The 20899-nt window shown below is 57.6% G+C and overlaps 4 annotated features.

Annotated features, from left to right (window-relative positions):
* Positions 7970–8941: an enhancer, noted in NCBI's record as "H3K4me1 hESC enhancer chr8:143011659-143012630 (GRCh37/hg19 assembly coordinates)". NCBI's record gives its function as "activates a minimal SCP1, AML or CMV promoter by ChIP-STARR-seq in primed H9 embryonic stem cells {active_cell/tissue: H9 hESC(primed)}" and the evidence as "EXISTENCE:reporter gene assay evidence [ECO:0000049][PMID:30033119]".
* Positions 8942–9913: an enhancer, noted in NCBI's record as "H3K4me1 hESC enhancer chr8:143012631-143013602 (GRCh37/hg19 assembly coordinates)". NCBI's record gives its function as "activates a minimal SCP1, AML or CMV promoter by ChIP-STARR-seq in naive H9 embryonic stem cells {active_cell/tissue: H9 hESC(naive)}" and the evidence as "EXISTENCE:reporter gene assay evidence [ECO:0000049][PMID:30033119]".
* Positions 11166–11757: an enhancer, noted in NCBI's record as "H3K4me1 hESC enhancer chr8:143014855-143015446 (GRCh37/hg19 assembly coordinates)". NCBI's record gives its function as "activates a minimal SCP1, AML or CMV promoter by ChIP-STARR-seq in naive H9 embryonic stem cells {active_cell/tissue: H9 hESC(naive)}" and the evidence as "EXISTENCE:reporter gene assay evidence [ECO:0000049][PMID:30033119]".
* Positions 20488–20557: an enhancer, noted in NCBI's record as "active region_28055". NCBI's record gives its function as "activates an Ori minimal core promoter by ATAC-STARR-seq in GM12878 lymphoblastoid cells {active_cell/tissue: GM12878}" and the evidence as "EXISTENCE:reporter gene assay evidence [ECO:0000049][PMID:35858748]".

Genomic DNA, 20899 nt, shown 5'->3' on the forward strand with positions numbered 1-20899 from the left:
AAGGCATACTTCGCAGGAGGAGCATGGCTAGATGAGGGGAAACAGCTCCCCAGAGTCCACCAGCAGATCCCGGGAAGGCTGGACAGAGTCCAGGGCCGCAGGCTCCTTCAAGCCGTCTTCTAGAATAGACCGATGAAGAGGACTAGCACTTAACACCTTATGCGGTCCCTTGGGCAGCCTCCACGGAGCTTTGTGCAGAATTGTTCATCTCTCCAGCTGCAGCTATCTGAACATAGCATTAGACCAGATCCCGCCCCCTGGCATGGTTGTGTGGATGGGGTGAGACATAGTCTGCGCAGCCAGTGGGGAACGCCCTGTGGGAAGCCCCCAGGACACCAAGGCATGGCAGTGGTGTGATGATTCAAGAGGCAGCAGGTCTGGGTTGGGGCCTGGGAGTCTGCATTTCTAACAAGTCCAGGGGACGGGTGCCCTTTGCTCTTGGCCCAGAGTTGACATTTTGAGGAACCAAGGTTTAGCCGTACAGAAGGATTTTTTTGTTTGTTGGTTTTTTGGGCCGAGATGCCCCCAGGGCTTCCCATCCGGTTCATATGCCCTTTCCCCTGGTCTCCCAGTACAGAGAAGCAAGGCTGCCTGCTCCCATGGCTTCTCTATACTGGGAGACCAGGGCCTTGTGTGCCCATGACATGATGCCCTGAACTTGTGAGGTCTTTAAGTGCTGTTTGACACGATGCTTTAGGTAAGGAAGAAATACTTGGCTGCTTAGTGGATAAAGTGTTTGCACCTGCCCTGGGCTTTTCTTTCTGTTATTGTCCTGTCTACTCAGTTGTCCATCCATTGACTGATGGATACACTGCTCCTTTGCTAGCTAGTTCTGCCTCCGAGCAAGAAGAGGTCGTCAAATGGCTGGAACCTGGATCCCCTGCACTTACTCCCTCACCCACCTACCCCGGCCCCCAGCAGTGAGGCCCAGCAGAGGGCCCTTCCAGCAGGCGCCCAAGGGGTGCATCTCGCTGGGACTTTGACTCCAAGCGATGAATGGAGTCTGCCCTCGTGGTAGCAGGTAGGGCCACGTGGGAACCTTCCAGGCCCCTTCCTCATCTGATGGAAGGATGCAGTGAAGTCAGCCCTGTGGCCAACCCCAGTACCCTCTCCCATGCACATGCCCCATCCTCAGCCTTTCTACATGGAGGATGAGGTAGCCTCTAGAATAGGAGCCAAGGGCAAATCTCTCCTTCAGCAGTGGGTGAGCTCCCCTAGAGCTAGGAGAGGGCAGGGACTGGCCTCCCTGGCTTTCCCTGGCAGGGCCAGGAGGGTAACCTCCCACAAGCAGGGCCCATGCCCAGGGGCCTGAGAGAGACGCCAGCCAAGGACAGGGAAGGCAGAGACAATGTTCCCTGCAGGATACGAGTCAACCTCTGCGGCCCCGCCAGCACCCCACATGGCAGCTGGTCTGAGCTCACACAGGGGCGGCAGTTGCCTGGATCAGCAGTATTGGCAGCCCAGGCTGGCCTGGTGGCAAGTTGGTGCTGGCTCTGGGCTGGGCCTTCTCTCACCCTCCAGGGTCAAGGCCAGAGCACCAGCTGCAAGACCTCAGGGCTCAGAAATCCCACAAACTCACTTCTGCCCAATTATATGGGTCAAATCCAGCCCAGATGCAAGGGCTGGAGAAACAGACTTTACCTCCTGATGGGGAACTGGCTCCATCCCAAGGGAAAGGGCATATGAACTGATGGGAAGCCCTGGGAGCATCTCGGCGTAAAAAACAAACAAACAAACAAACCCTTCTGTACAGCTAAACCTTGGCTCCTCAAAATGTCAAATGTGGGCCAAGAGCAAAGGGCACCCGTCCCCTGGACTTGTTAGAAATGAAGACTCCCAGGCCCCAACCCAGACCTGCTGCCTCGGAATCATCACACTAGCACCATGACCAGGTGACCCCTCCCTGCACACGTTAAGACCTGAGAGGTGCTGGCCTCAGCTAAGCCTCCATCCGCCGAGGGCCCCCACCTCCATGCTGCAGACCAGGGTTCCTCTTTGTGAGGCCGGGCGACCTTCAGGCTGCTGTGAAGACGGCAGGGACTTGCTCGAGCCCGCCACAGCCCCCACCCTGGGGCAGCCATGACAGGGCCCCAGGCCCACTGCCCCTGTCCCCGCTGCCCTGCACCATGGCCTGGGCTAAGATCAGGGCTTAGCAGCGGGCGTGGTGCAGGCACAGCCCTGGGTCCAGCCTGATTTCCCCTTGGCCTTCTGAGAAGGAAGGAATCATGTCCCTCTCCCTCCAGAAAAGGTTCTGGGTCCTCTTTCACCAAACCAACCACATGTGAGAAGAGAAACTCCAGAGAGAAGCCATTTGGACCCAGAGACTTTATCAAGTTGCTTGACACCTGTGAGTCCTTATCCCAGATGGCCTCATGCCCCTGTCAGCCGCTGGGGCCTGCAAGGGCCTCTGCCACACTGGGGTGCGAGGAGGGGATGTCCACGCCCAGCCTCCTGGGGTGATTTGCAGTGGCCATCAGTGAGTTCAGCTCTGTCCTTTGTCCTAACCACTTTCAGGCAGGAAGGCTTTCACCTTCTCCAGGGGGTCTTTGATGAAAGCATTCTGGGGAACAGGAGGCTACATCCATGCCCTCTCCCCCAGAAGCCCAGGGACAATGCACAGCAAGTGGGAAAAGCCACCTCCCGCGGACCAGAGATGCTTGAAACATGGGTGAGTTCAGTCCCTGCAGCCTGGGGCCCGCCCACTGCCCCGGCCCACATGGGTTACATCAGTGACCCTCAAGGGTTGGGGACGGGGGCCTGTGAATGATGGCCCTCGGGCTGACCGAGACTGCAGCCTGTTTCCATAAGGTTTGATTGGAACGCAGGCATGCACCTTCATTCTCATGCATTCTGAGGCTTCTTTCACACAACAGCAGAAAAGCTGAGACCATTTGGCCCACAGAACCTAAAATAGAGGACTATCTGGCCCTCTACAGAAAAAGTTTCCCGACTTGTGATTCAGAAGGCATAGGTTGCCCAGCCTCCCTGGACCACAGTGTGTCTGGATCCTTCCCCTTCTGATGCTTCTGTGGCCCCGCCTGGCTCCCTCTCACCTGTGCCCTCAGACAGAGCCAGCACCGCCCCCTCCATGGCTACTTCCTGCCCTGTCCTCACCATGGCTGGTGGGACATGGCACCACTGCTGCCCAGCCCATGCTGTATGGGAGGGCCCTCAGCAGGCCCTTGACACAGGCCAGTGACAGGCATGGAAGGACAGATCCAGGGGACTGTCGTCGGGGTTGAGAAAAGGATCGAGGGTCGGGATTTGGGTCAGCAAATCCCCAGGATCTGGGGTGAACCTTTGGTGCAAGTCCTGCCATCTGTTGTCATGGAAACCTTGAAGGGGGGCCGTCGCCAGCTCCACTGCCTTGCTGAGCATGGGGAAGACAGTTGTGTGAAGAACCATGGAGCGTGGGCTCTGGAATTGCATGACCCGGGCTTAAATCTAAGGGGCCCGCTTTTAGCTGTTTGTGCACAGCCCAGCTTCTGCCTTTGTGAGACTGCAGCCTCTCTGTGCCTTGGGGTCTTCATCTGGGAATGGTGCAACCATTCTCCTGTATCTAGGACTTCCAGGAGGAGGGAGGGGGGGTTGCAGTCCTAACGCACCTGGCAACTATTAAGCGTCAATCAGATATCAAGTCAATTGTAAATATTCTTGGAGGAAGCAGGAAAGTAAGTGACTAAGGAGCTGTGGACCCTTTGTGCTAAGGAGGGCACAGTAGCCTCCAGTGCATTTGTATCAAAACAGGCCTGGCTTCACTGGGCTGGCTACAACAGCTGAGGCACGGAGCATTAAGTGACTTTTCCCAGGTCAGGTAGCAGTTTAATAGTGGAACTGGGATTTGAAATCCAGCTGTCTGGCTATTGGCCAGAGCTGTCCAAGAGAAATGCCAGTCACGTGTGTAATTTCAAATTTTCTAGTAGCTGCATTTAAAAAGGTAAAGAGAAGCAGGTGAAATTGATTTTAATAATATATTTTATTGAATGTAGTATATCAAAAATAATATTTCAACATGTGATCCACATAAACACTGTTTGAGGCATTTGATAGTCTGTGCTTTGTATTAATTCTTCAAACTGAGGGATGTGTTTTACACTGCAGCCTCTTCTAGTTAGGAACAGCCACGTGCCCGGTGCCCAGCACCCTGCGTAGCTCAGGGCTGTCATGTGGGACAGGGCAGGCCCAGCTGTGAGGGTGATGAACGCACACGTGCGAAGCAAAGTGAGTGAATGGGCAGGTGGATGCATAGATGAATAAACCGAATCACTTCCCATTTCCCACCTATCTCCCTGGCCCTCCCTGTCTAGCCTGGGCTCCCTTTGGTGGCATGGGTTCTCCCTAATTTGCCTTTGAGCCTCCGGAGTCTGTCCCAGGGGCTGGAGGCTGGTGGGTTCTCAGGAAGTGTTTGTGAACCAACACTGATGGAATCTCTTTTTTTTTTTGAGATGGAGTTTTGCTCTTGTTGCCCAGGCTGGAGTGCAATGGCACCATATCAGCTCACCACAACCTCTGCCTCCCAGGTTCAAGCGATTCTCCTGCCTCAGCCTCCCGAGGAGCTGGGATTACAGGCATGTGCCACCACACTGGCTAATTTCTTGTATTTTTAGTAGAGATGGGGTTTCTCCATGTTGGTCAGGCTGTTCTCGAACGCCCGACCTCAGGTGATCTGCCCGCCTTGGCCTCCCAAAGTGCTGGAATTACAGGTGTGAGCCACTGCGCCCAGCCCCACTGACGGAATCTCTAGTGCTGCCAGCCACCTCAATCCAAGGGGTGCCCCTGGCCTTGGCTCCCCCAGAACCCATACCCCAGGGTCTCAGGAGTATAAGACGTGTGCTCTACTCTGATTCCTGGGTGCGTCATTGGCTCTAGGACAATTCATTACAGCACGGCGCAGGCTGTCTGAAACAGACATGCATGTAACATTTAGATTCTTTCTCCAGAAGCCTGCAGGTTCCACAATTCAATAAACATCAGAGCAAAGGTTATTTTAAACTCCGCAGTTAAAATCGACGTGGTGATATATTGGTCTGATGACTCCTTTTATGAAATTACCTCTGAAATGTTATGTTTTCATTCTGGGAAACTCATTCCAGCTTTGTTCTTCCTTGAACTTTATAACTTACCCTGCAAACTGCTGTGTACCTGGCCACGGTTCTGGAAGTTTCTCTAGGGCCTGTGACCCCAGCTGATGGGGCCGTGGTGGAGGGGGGTGTGGCTGACAGCATCGGAGAGCTGCGGGCTTCTGTGTCAGCTGCTGTTCCTCGTCTGGGCTCACTGTGGGATGACACACGCCTGGCTTCCCTCCCCATAAGGCAGCCGAGCCCCCCACCCCCGCCGTTCTTCCAGGGACTCAAACCCACCACTCATCATCACATCCCACATGTCAGGTTTTCTCCCCAGAGGCGCTGAGGATCATGATGAAAACCACCCCGGGGCTTTTCACAAGCTGCACTGGAGTCGACGGTGGAGAAGTTACAGACACGCAGTGTGTGTGTCACCTGCGGGCCGCTAATTAGAGCGCCGCTGACAGCCCAGAGATGGGGAGCTGGAGAGGCTGGGCGCGGGAGAGAGCCCAGGTGGGCTCCTGTGAGTTTAGGCCTGAGTGCTGCAGCGGAGCCAGCAAGAGCTCGGAATCACCCAGCTTTGTGGATCTGCCCTCCCCTTTGCCGTCCTCAGTCCAGCTCAGCCCTCGCCTCCTGGAGGAACCCAGCCCAGCTCGTCCCACAGCCCTGGGGCCTGCATCACCCTGGATGGACTGAAGTGGGTCTGACCGCTGCTCCCTGCAGCTGGTTTCCACCAAGGTCACAGGATGCAGTGGAGGCCTGCAGGCCTGGGGCTTCTTCCTGCTTTGTTGGGTGGCCACTGACCGTGACCTCACAGGCTTCTGGCTCCCTGACCCTGGGGTGTCCTGAGCAGTGTGAGGTAGTGACACTCTTAGGGCTCCAGGAAACATGTATCCTCTCTCAGCACACCTGCTGTGGCCCATGGGGCTCTGTTCTGAGCTCCTGGTCATCTTCCTGACCGGGACAAGCCCAAATATCTGTGGTGGGGGGCTCCTCCGGAGCTCAGCCATGGGAGAAGGCGGTAGACCCAGATCAGCGTGGAGGACACCAGGTGAGCCTGGCTGAGCCTTCACCCTCTCAGATCCCAAAAGTGCCCAGGTCTCAAATCCAGGGTAAGGTCCCAGGGAGTCAGGGAACTGATAGGGGAAAGCACTCAGCCTTGCAGGGCTTCGTCGCCTGGATGTGGATGAGACCAGCACACCACGTGGGGCAGCGAAGGCGCCAGGCCTGCTCTCCAACAGCATCCTTTGAATCAAGGGTCCTCACATTCTCTCTTGCTTCCCAACCCCCAGTATGCCCTCCTGTTTTCCATCTTATTATCTGCTCCCTCTTATCCCAGGGTTTTTCAGCCTCAGCACCACTGACATTTGGGACGGATCATTCTCCCTGCTGTGGCCACCCCATGCACTGCAGGCAGCTGAGCAGCATCCTCGGCCTCCACCCGTGAGAGACCTGCACCACCCACCTCCGACGCCACCACCCAAAGCCTCTGCAGACACTTCCCGGTGTCCCCGGATGGCAAAACTGGCCTGTGGAGGACCAGCGACCTGCCCCAGTGTTTACTGTGTGTGCAAATACTCTCTGAGCCCCTGTATGTGCCCGAGCTTGCCTGAGGTCTAGTGTGGCTGTGGCCAGTGGTGACACTAGAAAAAAACAGCAAACACGGGGCCTCGGCATGCACCAAACTGGGCCAGAACCCACCGCAGCCATGAGCTCTGGAACCCGCACTGCAAACATGAGACCTCACCGTGCACCAACCTGGGCTGGAACCCACTGCAGCCGTGAACTCTGGAACCCACACAGCAAACATGAGGCCTCACCATGCACCAACCTGGGCTGGAACCCACTGCAGACGTGAACTCTGGAACCCACACAGCAAACATTGGAGGGAAACACTGTCACTTCTACTTTACAGGCATAAACACTGAAGTGCAGAGCATTTGGGTGCATCAGAATTTTAACTCTTCAGCCCTGCAGGCCTCGCTTTCAGACATTCTGCTTCAGTAGGGCTGGAAGGGGTCCTGGGGAGCCCCACTGCAGGGAACCAGAAACCAACTGGAAGAGCCGGTGTCCAGCAGGCCCCAGAGCTCCTCAGAGCCTCAGATGGGGTTGGAGGGCCTTCCCCTGCTCCATCCTTCCCCCAAATACTGGTTGTTCCTTTCATTCAATAGATGCTCAAATCTTACACAATTTAAACAGACATTCCTAAGAGCACTGTATTTGCATGTAATTTGACTGTTTTCTTGTAGTAGTTGTAAAAGGGGAAGGAAAATCTATTCCAGTTAATTGTAGGTTCTGTGGAACTGGAGTTAGATCACATCACTATTGAAACCAGCTTATTATTGATCGGAAATGTGACAGGCCTGGGTCCACGGGCACACGTGTTGCCAGAAGCCTTTGTCACTCCATGGCTGACATCTCTGCATTGTTTTTCAGCTGGTAATTCCTTAAAAGACTGAGACAATAGTCATTTAATATCGTTTGCTCAAATGAACAGTTCCCCGAGCAAATAACAATAATAAAAAAAAGTCCCTGAGAAGCCAATTAGACTCTGCAGCTTGTACCAAGCAATGGCCTTTCTAATAGACGCCCTTTTTACAAGTGCAGCTGTGTCACCCAGATGAAAAATCAGGGCCCCTTTTGCTGCTGATATGTAAATAAATGCAGGCGATCGCATATGTAATAGCCCTGTTCCATCAGCGGGGTTTAGAAACCCGATAGGAATACTTCAGATAAAGGGGCAATTTATGGAAGAGATTTTCTAATGAGAATGAGGGATAGGAGAGGCAGTGAGAAGACAGAGATCTCTGGGGTCAGGAAATGCAACCCAGCCCAGAGGCAGAGCTCAGCCTGGTGCCGGGAGACAAAGACCTTGGCCGACTGCTCTGTGCAAGGACGGTGGGGGCTCTCCTCGTGGGCTGCATCCCGCAAGCAGAGCAGCCATGGGGATTCTAACTTGGGGTGCACACATTCCTTTTAGATCCTGTAACCTCTGTGGCTTTCTCCCCGGAAAAGTGCACATATGTGCACACTGTTTTGTATATAGATCCAGGGGGCTCAAGGACCCTGAGACCCATCCTTGGGCCCTAGGTCAAGATCAAGAGCATCTTTAGGGCTGGGGTCTCCACCAGGGTGGTTCTGCCCCTCTGGACGTGTGGCAATGTCTGGAGGCATTTGTGATTGTGCAGCTGGAGGGAAGGGGCCCTGGCATCTCGTTGGGGGAGGCCAGGTGTGCAGCTCAGCATCTCACAGGGCGCAGGACAGCCCCTATGCAAGGAAGGATCTGGCTCCAAATGTCAATAGCATTGAGACCGAAGCAGCCTGCTCTGGGTGATCTGCCGGCAGCAGGGTCCCAGAGCACCCGTCTAACCACCCTGCATCTACAGATGAGGAAACCGAGGTCTGGAGTGGAGAAGGGACTTGCCCGGACCCCAGGTCTTGTTGATGGCAGAGGCAGCCCGGCGTCGAAGCCATGCTCCCAGCTGTCCGATAGCTGCTACCCAGCTGGGCTGCACCAGCCCCTCCTCAGCAGAGGTTCCTGGAGCCTCAGGCAACCCGCACAGGAGCTGTGAGGCCTCACTGGCCCCAGCTGTAAAGCAGAGGAAACAGTTCCAGTGATTCCAGACCCACCACCAAATGCCAAGCCAGCTTTCAGCTGGGGCTTTGCCAGGGTTTCCTGACACAGAGAAAGAACAAGCCAGTGATTCCCTTCTGACTCTGCAATGGAGCCAGGCCACAGGCAGAGTGAGGGCCAGACTGCAGCTGGAGCAGGTAGGGCCAGGTCACCTTAGGCCACCAAGGAAGGCTCTACTAGGAACGGGCATTCCCGAGGACACTGGGGAACTGGAGGGGAGGCCTAGGGAGGAAGGAGAGGCCTGGGGAGGAGGGGAGGTGGGGGAGGCCTAGGGAGGAGTGGCAGGCCTAGGGAGGAGGGGGCAGCCTAAGGAGGAGGGGAGGAGGAGGGGGAGGCCTAGGGAGGAGGAGGAGGCCTGAGGAGGAGGTGAGGAGGGGGAGGCCTAAGGAGGAGGGGGTGCCTAGGGTGGATGGCTAGACCTGAGGGTGGGAGGCCTGGGGGTGTCATGAGGAAGGCTTCAGTGGGGGTGGAGGTGTGTTGGGGTAGATTGGTCTGCAGGGCACTGCCAGCCATGGCTGAGCCTCCATCTCCCTCACCCCCTGTGGGGAGAGCTGGTCAGATGGCTCCGTGTGGGCAGGGACAGCCTCTGGGTGGGATGCTCCATGGCCATGGAGCTCTGTGCTGGTGGGTAGGCTCTGGCCCTGAGTGCGGAGCCACCTTCCCTGCCCACCATTGGCCTTCCCTGCAGTCAGCTGACAGCTGTGCCTAGCGACAGGGTCCTGGGATCTAGTGGCCACAGTCTACCTGGAACCGGCAAGGTCTATGCCCGGCTCTCCATCCACAGAGTCCCACAGAGAGAGTGCTCTCAGACACCCCTCACCGCCCAGGCCAGGAGTCAGACACCCCTTACCGCCCAGGAGGGGAGCTCCCAGGCCAGCTTTTCCCCCTATCCCCCTGTCCCTCTCCCCAACCTCACCCCTCCCCTGCCAACCTCTCCAGAACCACAGGAGGGGTGCAGGGGCCTCCCCTCCCAGATCCTAGGCCAGCAGTGTCTCCTGTCCAGGGAGCCCCAGTCCTAACGGGGAGCAGGTGTTCCCTTACCGCAGCCCTCTGTCCCCCACCATGGCTCCCGGTCAGCTCTGGTCTGTTCTCCCCTCTACCACACTGGGTTCTCTAGGATGAAAGTCATTGCACTCTTAAGAATTCCAAGAATGCAGTCCCCACTGCAGAAAAAATCAAATCTCCTTTCCCTCTGGCCCTGTCAAGGTCACCAATGGTGATGAAGCAGCACCCAGCTTGTGGTATAATTTCCTTCAACCTCAGACAAACATAAGGAAATATATACATATATATGTGTATATATATATAATTTATATCTATAATTTTTTGCTGCTTTCTTTTTTAGCCAAAATGGCATTCCGCTGCCTCTGTTCCCTAAGACCCCATCATGTAATAATCTGCGGTGGCCATCGTTCCAGGCCAGTGCCATTGAGCCTCATCCGTTTTCATCACGGCAGAATAGTGCAGCCGCCAGGTCTCGCCGCCTCTGCACCCCGCTCTGGGGGACTCCTGAGGGTGGGAGGGGCTGGGCCTCATTCAGCTTGGTCACCCCAACGATGCACACGGATGCAGGAACATGTGTACACATGCATGTACACACATGAGCACATTCTGCCCATTCAGGGGTCGAATGAGTCATGAATGGACAGTGACCTCCGGTGTGCTGAGATGCCATCCCGGCCCACAGGCCCTCAGCTTTTCTCCAGCCACACATGAGTGTCCTGTGCCCAGCAAGGTGCTCTGAGCCGCAGAGCCTGCGTGGTGAGGGAAGACACTGAACCCAGGGCCCCCAGGCTGAGCAGGCCGTTTGCCCCTCGTGAGCCTGGCTCTCTGCATTCCCCAGCCTGGGCTGCCTCGCACAGGGCCACAGACCAGGCGGTTGAAGCAACAGAGACGAATTCCTCCTGTCCTGGAGTGCAGAGCCCCACAGCAAGGCGTCGGCAGGGCTGCTCCCTCCTGAGGCCTCTCTTCTTGGCGTGTAGATGGCCGTGTGCTCCCTGTGTCCTCATGAAGTCGTCCCTTTGTGCATGTCTGTGTCCCAACCTCCGATAATAATGACCCCAGCAGGTTGGATGAGGGCCCGCCTTCTGGCCTTATTGTAACTTAATTACATTTTAGGAAGCCCTATCCCCACACATAGTCTCATTCTAAAATACTAGGGGTTAGAACTTCACCCTAGGAGTTCCGGGGATGCCGCTCAGCTTATGACAGTCTTCCTGCTTGGATAGATAGACGGACCCTTTGACCACAGATCCCTGGGCCCTGGGAGCACCTGAGCATCTTCGTGGTGAGAGACAGCAGCCCAACCTCGGGGCAAGGCGGGAACAGGCCATTTCCACACCTTGTTTCCATGGACATGACACAGGGTAGCATGAAATCCCCAGGGAAGCCCTTTGCTCAGAAGCAGCACCATGTCAGGGTGCTGTGAACTTGGATTTTTTTCTTCTTCTATGTCCTCTTTCCAAAGCACCCCATCTTGCTTGCACGTGCTCTTCCTAACAGTAATATCAGCAACAAACCTTGGAGGGGGAAGGGGGACACGGGTTTCCAGAATGGCTGGGATGTCCCTCCCTGGCTCCCCAGAGCCTGGGGTGAGCTCTCTTGGGTGGGACACACTGGTTTCCCAGCTCACCCACAGACACCTGCCTTCTCCGGCCCACCTGGGTGGAGCGCCCTTGCGGCTATCATGGGCCACTACAGCCGTCTTCCACTCTCCCCTCCCTGACAACTGACAAGCCAGGTCCTCGGGATCCGATGATAGCTGTCACCACTCCCAGGGTGTCAGGGAAGGAGCAAACATTACAGGGCTCTGTCTTCTCCAGCCCTCCTGCCTGCCGATGCACGGGCCTCTGTGGCTGCCTCCAGTGCTGCCAATCGATCCTGCTCACTCTCATTTTCCAGATGATGTCCTGGAGGCTTTTGGCCTTTCCAAGCCAGCTCCGGGCCTCGGGGCAGCCTCTACCAGGGCAGGGAGGGGCAGCTGAGTCGCACACGGGAAGAAGCTGACGAGCTGTCTCTCCAGCCTGCTCCTCGTGCAGTTGGGGAAACAGGCTTTGTGAGGAGCAGGGGTTTCCTCGCCTCCCTCAGGAACCTGAGTCCTGCCCTCTCGTCCACCTCAAGCAGCTGCATGTCCTGGGCCTGAGTTTGGGGCTGGACTCCACCCACAACCTGCCCTAACCTGCAGGGTGGGATCCACAGCCGACGCTCCATGGCCGCTGCCTCCATACACTTGGTCCTAGAAGAAAAGGGCCAGGCATGAATTAAGTACCTGCTGTGCTCCCCTCACTGCCCACGCTTCACGCTTGCTCAGGCTCATGCTGACCATGGAAGCTTCAGAGGAGTCAGGTCACTTGCCTAAGGCCACACAGCTCGTAATGGCCAGGGCAGCAGCTCAGCCAGGAGCCCGGACACTTGTCTTCTAGGACTTCCAGCAAGGTGGCTGGTCAGAGGTCTTGGGCCAGGTGTGACGTGCTGAGAAAGCAGGAAGCCACCTCTGGTCTCTGCTTCTGGGCTTGCAGAGATGGGTATAGGTCTGGCCTTCAGGCTGCAGAGGAATGAACTGGAGGCCACAAGGACAGCATCTAGGACAAAACTGGAGGGACAGCCAGGTGGGCTGTGCAGTTCTCTGGGGCTGCTGGGCCAATGGGACCTGGCTGTCAGAAAGTGGGGCCCTGCGTTTGGAAGGGGGCCTGTTCTGCAGCTGGTGAAAACACGTGTCGGGGCAGACCTGAGGCCTCCGCTGAGGGGCGAAGGGGAGCCGAGTTGCTTGAGGGCTGTCCAAGCCCTCCCTCTCCCCCTGGGGCTGCCCTAGTCTGGGTGAGCTGCCCACCCTGGCCTGGCTGAGGCCCTTAGTTGTGTGAGTGGCAGAATCCTCCTGCAGGCTGGCTGGTGTAGAAAGGCCTGACGGGCTCCTGGATCTGAAGCCAGAGGCTGGACAGGTGGCCTGCCCAAGTGGCACAGAGCTGTGTGCCACAGGAAGCTCTGCCCAATGGGCACGGCCATGCCAGGTCACTGTCCACACCCCTCCCTCGTGGCACTTGAGGAAGGGCGGCTGCTGGCCAGTCTCCATCACCATCCTCCCAGTTAAGTAGCACCCTACGGGGCCAGCACTGTTCCCATCTCAAGGAAACCTGACTGGGGGAGCTGATGCCTGGCACCCCTCAGAACAAATCCCAGGGAAGTTGGGGAGTCATCATGAGCCCAGCCTGTGCCAGACACCACTACGTATCAGGGCCGGGTGTGAGAGCAGTGCCTGCAGGAGGCCACAGTCCTGGAAAAGAGACAAAAGGAAGGTGAGTCCCCTACACCCAGCCCTCTGAGGGACACTGCCTGCACTGGTTTCTCCTGCACTTGGACCTGTGGGACGGGAGATGAGAGATGCCCTGTCTCCTGCCACCTCCCGTCACTGCAGGCCACTCGATGTCCCCTCACCACCGAGGGCTGAGAGCAGAGCCAGCAGCCCATGGTGGTCCAACCAGGGCAGCCAGGACAAGGCACCTCTCCCCGTGGGCGAGGATCCAACAGAACGATGGCCCCCAGGGTGCTTTCTCGCCTCTGGGCAGACGGCAGCCATCAGGGCAGCATGAGGCTGGCCATGGCCTCTTCCCACCCAGGCCACTTCTCGTGGCCTGTGACAAGCGACTCTCTGCTCAGCCTCACCTCTCAGTGTTCCCTGAGGACAAATTGTCTCTGTGAGACCCTGTCCCTCCCTCCACGTGGAAGGTACTCAGCCCATCACCCACCCACCTTCTGCTGAGGCCTCTCTACCTGATGTCAGCTCTAGAACTGGCAGCTCTGATGTCCTCAGGCCGCGGCCACACCCAGGCATGACTGGGATCTCAGAGAGGGAGCTGGGCCAGAGCCTCGTGGGAACTCCTGGGGTGTGGGATGCTCCGCGGGGGCGGGGAGGCCAGGTGCCCTCCGGAAGGACAGAGACCGCCTTGCACCAGGTGCCCCTGCTCTTGTCTGCCCGGGTCACTTTGGGCTCGTTTTCAGGTCTCTGTCCAGGCAAGTCCCTCCCTAGGCCCTCCCACCTGCCCTGGGCTGCCCTGGTCCCTCCTGGGTCTCCTGTGCCCTGCACTGACCTCTGCACACATCCACCTCTCCAACAGAGTAAGCCCCAGCCTCCAGGACTAGGACCTGCCCCGGGATCCACCAGTGTTTGTGCAGGTCCTACCGGGCCCTCTTCCCGGCATGTACCCCTTCACTGACCTCCAGCCAGCCCCCCTCAGCAGCAGGAAGCCCGGGCTCTGAGCACTTGAGTGACAGGCCCAAGGTGACAAGCTCCAACATTGCCCAGTGAGCATGTGAAGCCACATCCCTCTGACCCCGGCTTGTGCAAAGCGCTGCAGGACTGCTGGGTTAGGGGCTGCTGTGGTGACTCTGTCCCTGCACAAGGTGGAGCTGAGTGAATAAATGAAGGGGATGGAGGGTTGAGCTCCCTGCACAGTGGGGGCGGTCAAGGCTCAGAGAGGTCTGAGCAGAGAGCAAGGTGGGGTCCTGGCCTTCCCCCTGCTGCTCTGCTGGGAAGCCCACCATGCTGGCCCACAGGGGGAATTGGTAAGGTCCATCGTGTCTGTGCTCCTGACTCTGTTCCTTCTTGTCACACGGCCTGCGCCACACCTGCCCATGAGCGTGGACCTCCAGTTCTGCAAGCTTGGTCCTTGGGGCCCACGGCGGAGCTCCCATGGCGGGTCACACCCCACCACCTGGACACTTGGCTGTATGTAAGAAGAGTGTGCAGTAGGGAGAGAAGGGTGAGCCCTGCCCCAAGTGCCCTCCTGAGACCATCGGATGCTCTGGGTGGGTCAGCGCTCACCATGGGACTGCCTCTCCTGCTTGGCAGCTTCCCCCATTCGGGGTGACCTGGGCTCTGCATTCCCAACTCTGCCGGCCCTTCCACTTCCTGTCACAGGAAAAGCAGAGCACCCAGTTCTGGAAGGGCGAGGTCCCCCAGGGTACAGACAACATGTACACCTGCGCCTAGAGAATGCCAGCATGTGTGGCCCCACACAGATGGCACAGAGCCCAACATGAGTGGGTGGTGCTGTCAGAGGCTCGAAGTGGATAGGTAGGCAGGATGATTCTAATCCAGAGACGCTCGCAGGGACTGGATGAGGAAATGGGGAGGGTATCCAGGTTGCAGAGGGCCTGCGCAAACCATCAAAGAGGCCTTCCCGGAAGAGGCGGAGCTGAGTCCTTAAAGGAGAAAGAGGACCTGGAAGGGTAGGTGGGCATGCCCTGCTTACACTAGGCTATGAGGCCAGCATTCGGGCTCCCTCCCTCCCTCCTCCCTCTCCTCCTCTTTTTCTCTCTCCTTCCTTCCCTCCCTCCTCCCTCTTCCCTTCCCTCCCACCTTCCTCCCTCCTTCCTTCCCTCCCACCTCCCTCCCTCCCTCCTCCCTCTTTCCTTCCCTGCCCTCCCTCCCTTCCTTTCTTTTCTCCCTCCCTGTCTCCCTTCCTCCCTCTCTCCCTTTCTCCTTCCTTTTCCCGTTCCCTTCTTCCTTTTCTCTCTCCTTTCTGCCCTCTACCCTTCCCTTTCTCCCTCCTCTCTCCTTCCCTCAGAAGCACAGTGAGTGGTGAGTGGGCTCCATGGTCCTGCCCTGACCCCACAGCTGGAAGCACGTAGGAGGCACAGAGGACACTTCAGAAGAGCTTCCTGGGGGCCGGACACAGGGATCCCCAGCACCTCTGCCTCACAGCAAACACAGACATGACAGGGAGAAGTGGGGTGCATGGTGTGCCCTCCTGCAACAGCCCCTTCCCTGGCTACACCCCCTCTTCTCTGATCCCACTTCCCTTGCCCAGATTCCCCAGGGGACTCCAGCACATCTGCCCTCACCCCAGTGCTGGCAATTGCATGGGCTGCAGTTAGCTGGGCCCTTCCCCTTTTGAGGAGGCATCTGTGCTTCCAGCCAGGAGACTCTTTCCCCTGTAAACTCAAATCACTGAAAACATGCTGGAAAACCAGAGGAATGGAAGAAAAGGTGGCACCCCATCCCGGAGGTGGATGCACATCCTTTGTGGAAGGCTGCAGATGTGGGCACCGGCCTTGGAGCCCGGCCACCCTGCTCAGCCTGCCCAGGCCCTGATGCCATCTCCGGAGGCCTGTGCTGCCCCTAGCCTGACACCCAATAGGAACACTGTCCAGAGAGAGGACGCGCTGCCCCCACCCTAAAGTTACGACTCTGTCCCTAGAGAGCTTCCTACAGAGGCACGGACCTCCGGGGGTGGCCCCGGCTCCTGTCTGCCGAGAGGGGGCCCGAGCCCGGCACAGCCCTGTGCACGTGAAATCCCACCAGGACCCCTGACCCTCAGCCACCCATGGGGAAGGTCGGACATGATCACACTGCTAGTCCCTGAGTGGGCTGAGCCAGTGAGGCTGGCTCCAGATCCCAAGCCCTTAGCTATGTTCACTCACGTCGGGTCACCCAGCCAGCAGACAGGGCTGAGCCGGTGGCCTCAGCTCACGGTAGCTCATAGGCAGAGGCCTCCTGTGAAGCCTGCCTGCTCCTCACACCTGCGCCGCGGTAAACAACATCCAGATACCACCGTCAGAAGGCAGCTCCCCTGTCCCCAGGCCCAAAGCTAGCAGGTGGTGAGGGGGCCCGGAAGACAGGTGCCCTGGTCCCATGACACCCCGACTCCCAGGGCCCTGGGATGACCACACAGGGGATGGGACTGCACCTTCCCTGCGGGCTCCTTCCCAGCAGACGCCCCTGGTGACCTCATCCTGGACAGCTCCCTGGTTCCAGTCTTGAGAAGAAGAAATCTCCAACAGGCCCCATCCGAGCAGACCCAGACACTGAGACGGCTGGTTTTGCAGGACAGCACTGAGGCCCAGGGCAGCAGCCTGTGAGTCAGAGGCTGCTGGGTCTCCAGCCAGGGGCTGTCTCAGAAGCAGCTGAACCCTAGGTGCTGGGAGGCAGGCCGGCTCCAGAGCAGGCTTCTGGGTGTTGGTTCTCCCTGCCTAGGAAAGGGGAAGTGGGTTGTGCTTCCGCCACAGGCCCTGGGGGCACCTGGTTGTCCTCCGCTTGAATGGAAGTCCCTGGAATAAAAAGCTGTATTTGGACACGAAAGGATCCATGGGGATCATTGAATACTGAGACCCCCCAGTGTGGGCCAAGACCTCTCACCAGCCACAACCCCCAACCAGAGTCAGAGGGTGGGTGGCATGGCCTGGCCACCAACGTCAGGTGGAAGGAAGCACTCAGGGCACTTGCACAGGGGAGCTTCCCGGAGCCACCCTCCCACAGGGCTCGGGACTTTCTCAGCCGGGTACAGCTTGGTGTCTCCACTCACCGGGAGAGGCTGGAGGACAAGGTCTGCCCCGGAGAGCCAGCACCCGGGATAGGGTTCCTGCTCAGAGGCCACCCAAGAGCGTCCGTCACAGAGTGGATGAGTGAAGGCTCTGTGCCTGTGGAACCCGCAGACACAATGGACCCGGGGTGCACACACCCCACAGGCAGGGCAGGGGCACGGAAGCAGTGACTCCCAGCCAGCCCCACACACCCCACAGAAGGCTGTAGAACAGGGGTGCACAGCACGGGGGACCCCCAGTTCCTAGATGCAGGCCTCAGCACCACGGGGACACCTGTGTATTAGCCACAGGCCATGGCACCACCCACACCCACCCACGCCCTCTCATACCTTCCTTGGCACCCAGTCGTTGCCATTGGCCCTTGCCAGATCACTGAGGTTTGGCCATTTTTGAGCCACAAAAATGACAATTTCATAAGGTTGTACCTGAAACATTCTAAATACTTAACTGCGGAAATCACTTTTCCTGTCCCCAAAGATACACTGAGCTCCCAACAGTCAGGGCTGTGTCTTCCTTTTGCTCACTCCCCCAGCGCCTGGCTGAATTGGATCAAATGGCTTGGAACGTTGAGAATGTCCTCGCCTCCTGACTACTAAGAATCAAGGGTTCGGGCCCTCCCAGGTCCGTGGGTGACCTTGGGCACACCCTGCTCTCTCTGGGGAGAGCTTCCTCTCAGGCCACGGCAAGAGGACACAGGGAGAGGAAGAGGAAGAGGAGAGGAGAAGAGAGGAGCAGAAAAGAGAAGAGAGGAAAGGACAGGAGAAAGAAGGGGAGGAGTGGAGAGGAGGGCAGCAGAGGAGAAGAGAGGAAAGGAGAGACACCTGGCTATTCCAGCATCTCAGCCTTCTCTACCGCAGCACGTGAGTCAGCCATCTAGGGTGTCCAGTCCAGAAGAGCTCTCTAATGAGTGCCCTTCCAGTCATTACCATGTGGTACAGAAGAACCCAGCCACGCTCAATCTACACACATTATAAGAGATTATTCTTTCATGTCACTAAGTTTTGGGGTTGGTTGCAGCAACATATAACCATGTTACATGTTGGCAGGAGGGCACAGGCATGGCGGTGTCCCCCTGCTGCCCAGGAGTCTCCTGATGTCTGACCCTACTGGCTAGCCCTCCCCTCCCTCCTCTCCAAGCCCCCTCTCCAGCTGCTCTGACAGAGGGACTTTCCTGGCCCCTGCTCATGAGGACCTCACTGCTGAGCTCCCAACTCCAGGTGCATCTTCTAGAACAAGAGCAGCACCTTGGGAAAGCTTGGCCTTCCAGACGCAGAAGCGCAGGTGCTGTGGAAGTCCATGGGATGTGGGGATGGTTCAGGTTTAGAAAGCTCTGCATCCTTGCTTCTCTGCTTCTCTTTGTGTTATTTGTCCTCTTGGAAACAATATGCTTCTCAGGAAGAACAGACACCTGCTCGCTGTGAGCTGTTCCACGTGCTGCTCTCAGATATGGCTGATAATTGCTGCTGTCATCCCCCTGTCCCACCTAGGCCTGGACCCGTGATCCACCAGGCCCTCCAACCCTGCCTCCAGCAACCCTGGAATAGACGTCGAAGCAGATGGCAGGAGAGAGCCCGGAGCAGCCAGCGAGAGCCTGGCTTGGCCCGAATCCATCTGTCCTGCTTCAAGCATCTTGCCCGCTGGCCACACATTCATAGTTTCAGCCACATCAGCATTTTGCAAAATGCCAGCTCCAAGCAGGGGACCCTCGAGGGCTGTCGTGGCTGCCAACTGTTGGATTTTGACACATTTCGTCCAGTGTGGGCACACCGGAGCTTCGTCCGCACGCAGAGGATGCGGGAAATGTTGGCTGCCCCATGCTGCTTCTCAGAGTTGCTCAAGTTAGGACGGGCTCAGGGGCCCTCTCCTCCTGCCGCCCTGCTTGGCCAGCTGTGCTCCCACATCCAGCCTCTCCACTGCTGGAGTTCTTCCAGGGGCACAGATCAGACCACCACTCAGACAGCACCCCTTTCTTGTGTGCTGCAGCTTTGCAAAGTCCTTCCATTGCGCCAACATACTGCCGGACAGCATCCAATCAGGACAGATCCGCTTTCCTGCCATGCCCCTTCCAATAAAGGGGGAAACCTGGTGTGGCTGGTCCAGGGGGAGCCTGGAACCTGAAAGTGGCTGGGAAGGGCTTGGCTGAGGAGGGAAGCAGTGGCCGAGCCTCACACAGGAGCCTGCCCAGGTCATGGAGCCAACTGCACTCCCCCACCGTGTCCGTCAGGACCTGGTCTGCTGTAAGCGGTGGCAGGAATTAAAACAGGTGTTACACACACACACACACACACACACACACACACACACACACACGCACACACACAAAGAGAGAGGAGAGGGAGGAGAAGGAGAAAAGAGGAGAGAAGGAAAGGAATGCTTTGGCTCAGACAATGGCTGAAAGTAAAGGGGACCTCTGCTTCAGGCACAGGCTGAAACCTGGCCTCCTCTCTCTCTGACTTCCTTCTCCTCCACGTTAGCACCATTTCTAACCTGGGCTTCATGTGCAGAAAAGGAATCCCCACCAAGCAGCTCTACACACATATCCTCAAGTTCAATCTCAATAGAAAAATAAGCTGAAGCCTCTCCCCCTAGAAGTTGGAGCCCCGAGCCTAACTCACAGGCTAGGGCGAATGTGTGCACATCCCAGAAGCAGCTTGGGTTGTGCACTGAAGTTGGAAGTTGGTCTGGTCCTGGGGCAAATGGCCACCCGTTGTGCCCATGCTGGCTGTGGTGGGAAAAACTGGCAGATTCCAACCCCTGGGGGCTCTGGGCACAAGGAAAGGTGTGCAGGGCAAGGTGCAGATGACACAGCCTAGTCTAAGCCTCTGCTCAGAGACCAAAGCTGGGCCAGGTTGGGGAGGCAGAATAGTAACAACCCATGCCCCCAAGGCTCTCCTCTGCAATGCGTCAGCTGTCACCAGCCGGGCTGGGTGTCATGTTGCATTTCAAACCAGGAACTCTCAGATGTGCATTGAACTGACGGCTGTGTGCGTGGTGCACTGTGTATGCCTGGCTCCTAGACAGGGCTGGCTCCTCCGCTGCTCTGCAGAAGGTGGCTGGGAAATTCCAGGGCTGAGCAGTGCTAGGTGGGGGCGAAGCCAGGACAGGGTCTGTTAGCTTCATTCATGGTTATGGGGTCTCCTGCTGGGGACAACCAAGTGGTCACGCAGATGATGACAGCATTGCCATTAGTGGGGCCTGGCTCGGGCAAGTCCTGTGGTGTGAGGAGACCCTACTGTCGGGCGAGCCCCAGCAGGGAGTCTAGCCCTGGAAATCTGGCGGACAGAGGCCTGGAGACCGGCATTGGCCCATTCCCAGTGAGTGCCAGGGCTGTATGGGCAGGTGACATACAGGTCTCCCCAGACAGGCAGGCTGTGGTCCAGAACTGCCCAGGTCCCCACAGGGTGTGGTGAGGAAACCGAGGCAGAAGCTCCTTGGTGGACCAGCCAAGCAGGGCTCAGGGACGCACGGACAGGGTGGGTGAGAGGAGGAGGCGTCCTCTCAACTCCGACACCCACGGCCCCTTTCCTGCTGCCCTTCAGGGTGTATGCTGGGACCAGGGAGGAGCCCCTGCTGGCCCTGATTCTCCTACACGGAGCTGGGGGAAGATGCGTGGGGCCCAGGCCTGGGCCCAGAGAATCTCAGGGAGGCCGTGGGCAGAACAAAGAACCATCTCGCCAAAACCACCTCAGGAGGCAAAACCCCTGGGAAATCCCTCAGGCCGCTGAGTCAGTCCCGGCTCTGCTGACGTTCTTCGTTGAGGCTCGGCCCCTGTGCCTGCAGGTGCCGCTGGCACAGCCCTTCTGAGTACTCCACGGCCTCTGTCCCACAGCTGTGCCTCAAGGTGTGGGTGGCCCGTGGGCCTCGGTTCTTTCCACCCCAAATA

Source organism: Homo sapiens, chromosome 8 (assembly GCF_000001405.40).
Source record: "Homo sapiens chromosome 8, GRCh38.p14 Primary Assembly".
In the NCBI taxonomy this organism is placed as follows: domain Eukaryota; kingdom Metazoa; phylum Chordata; class Mammalia; order Primates; family Hominidae; genus Homo; species Homo sapiens.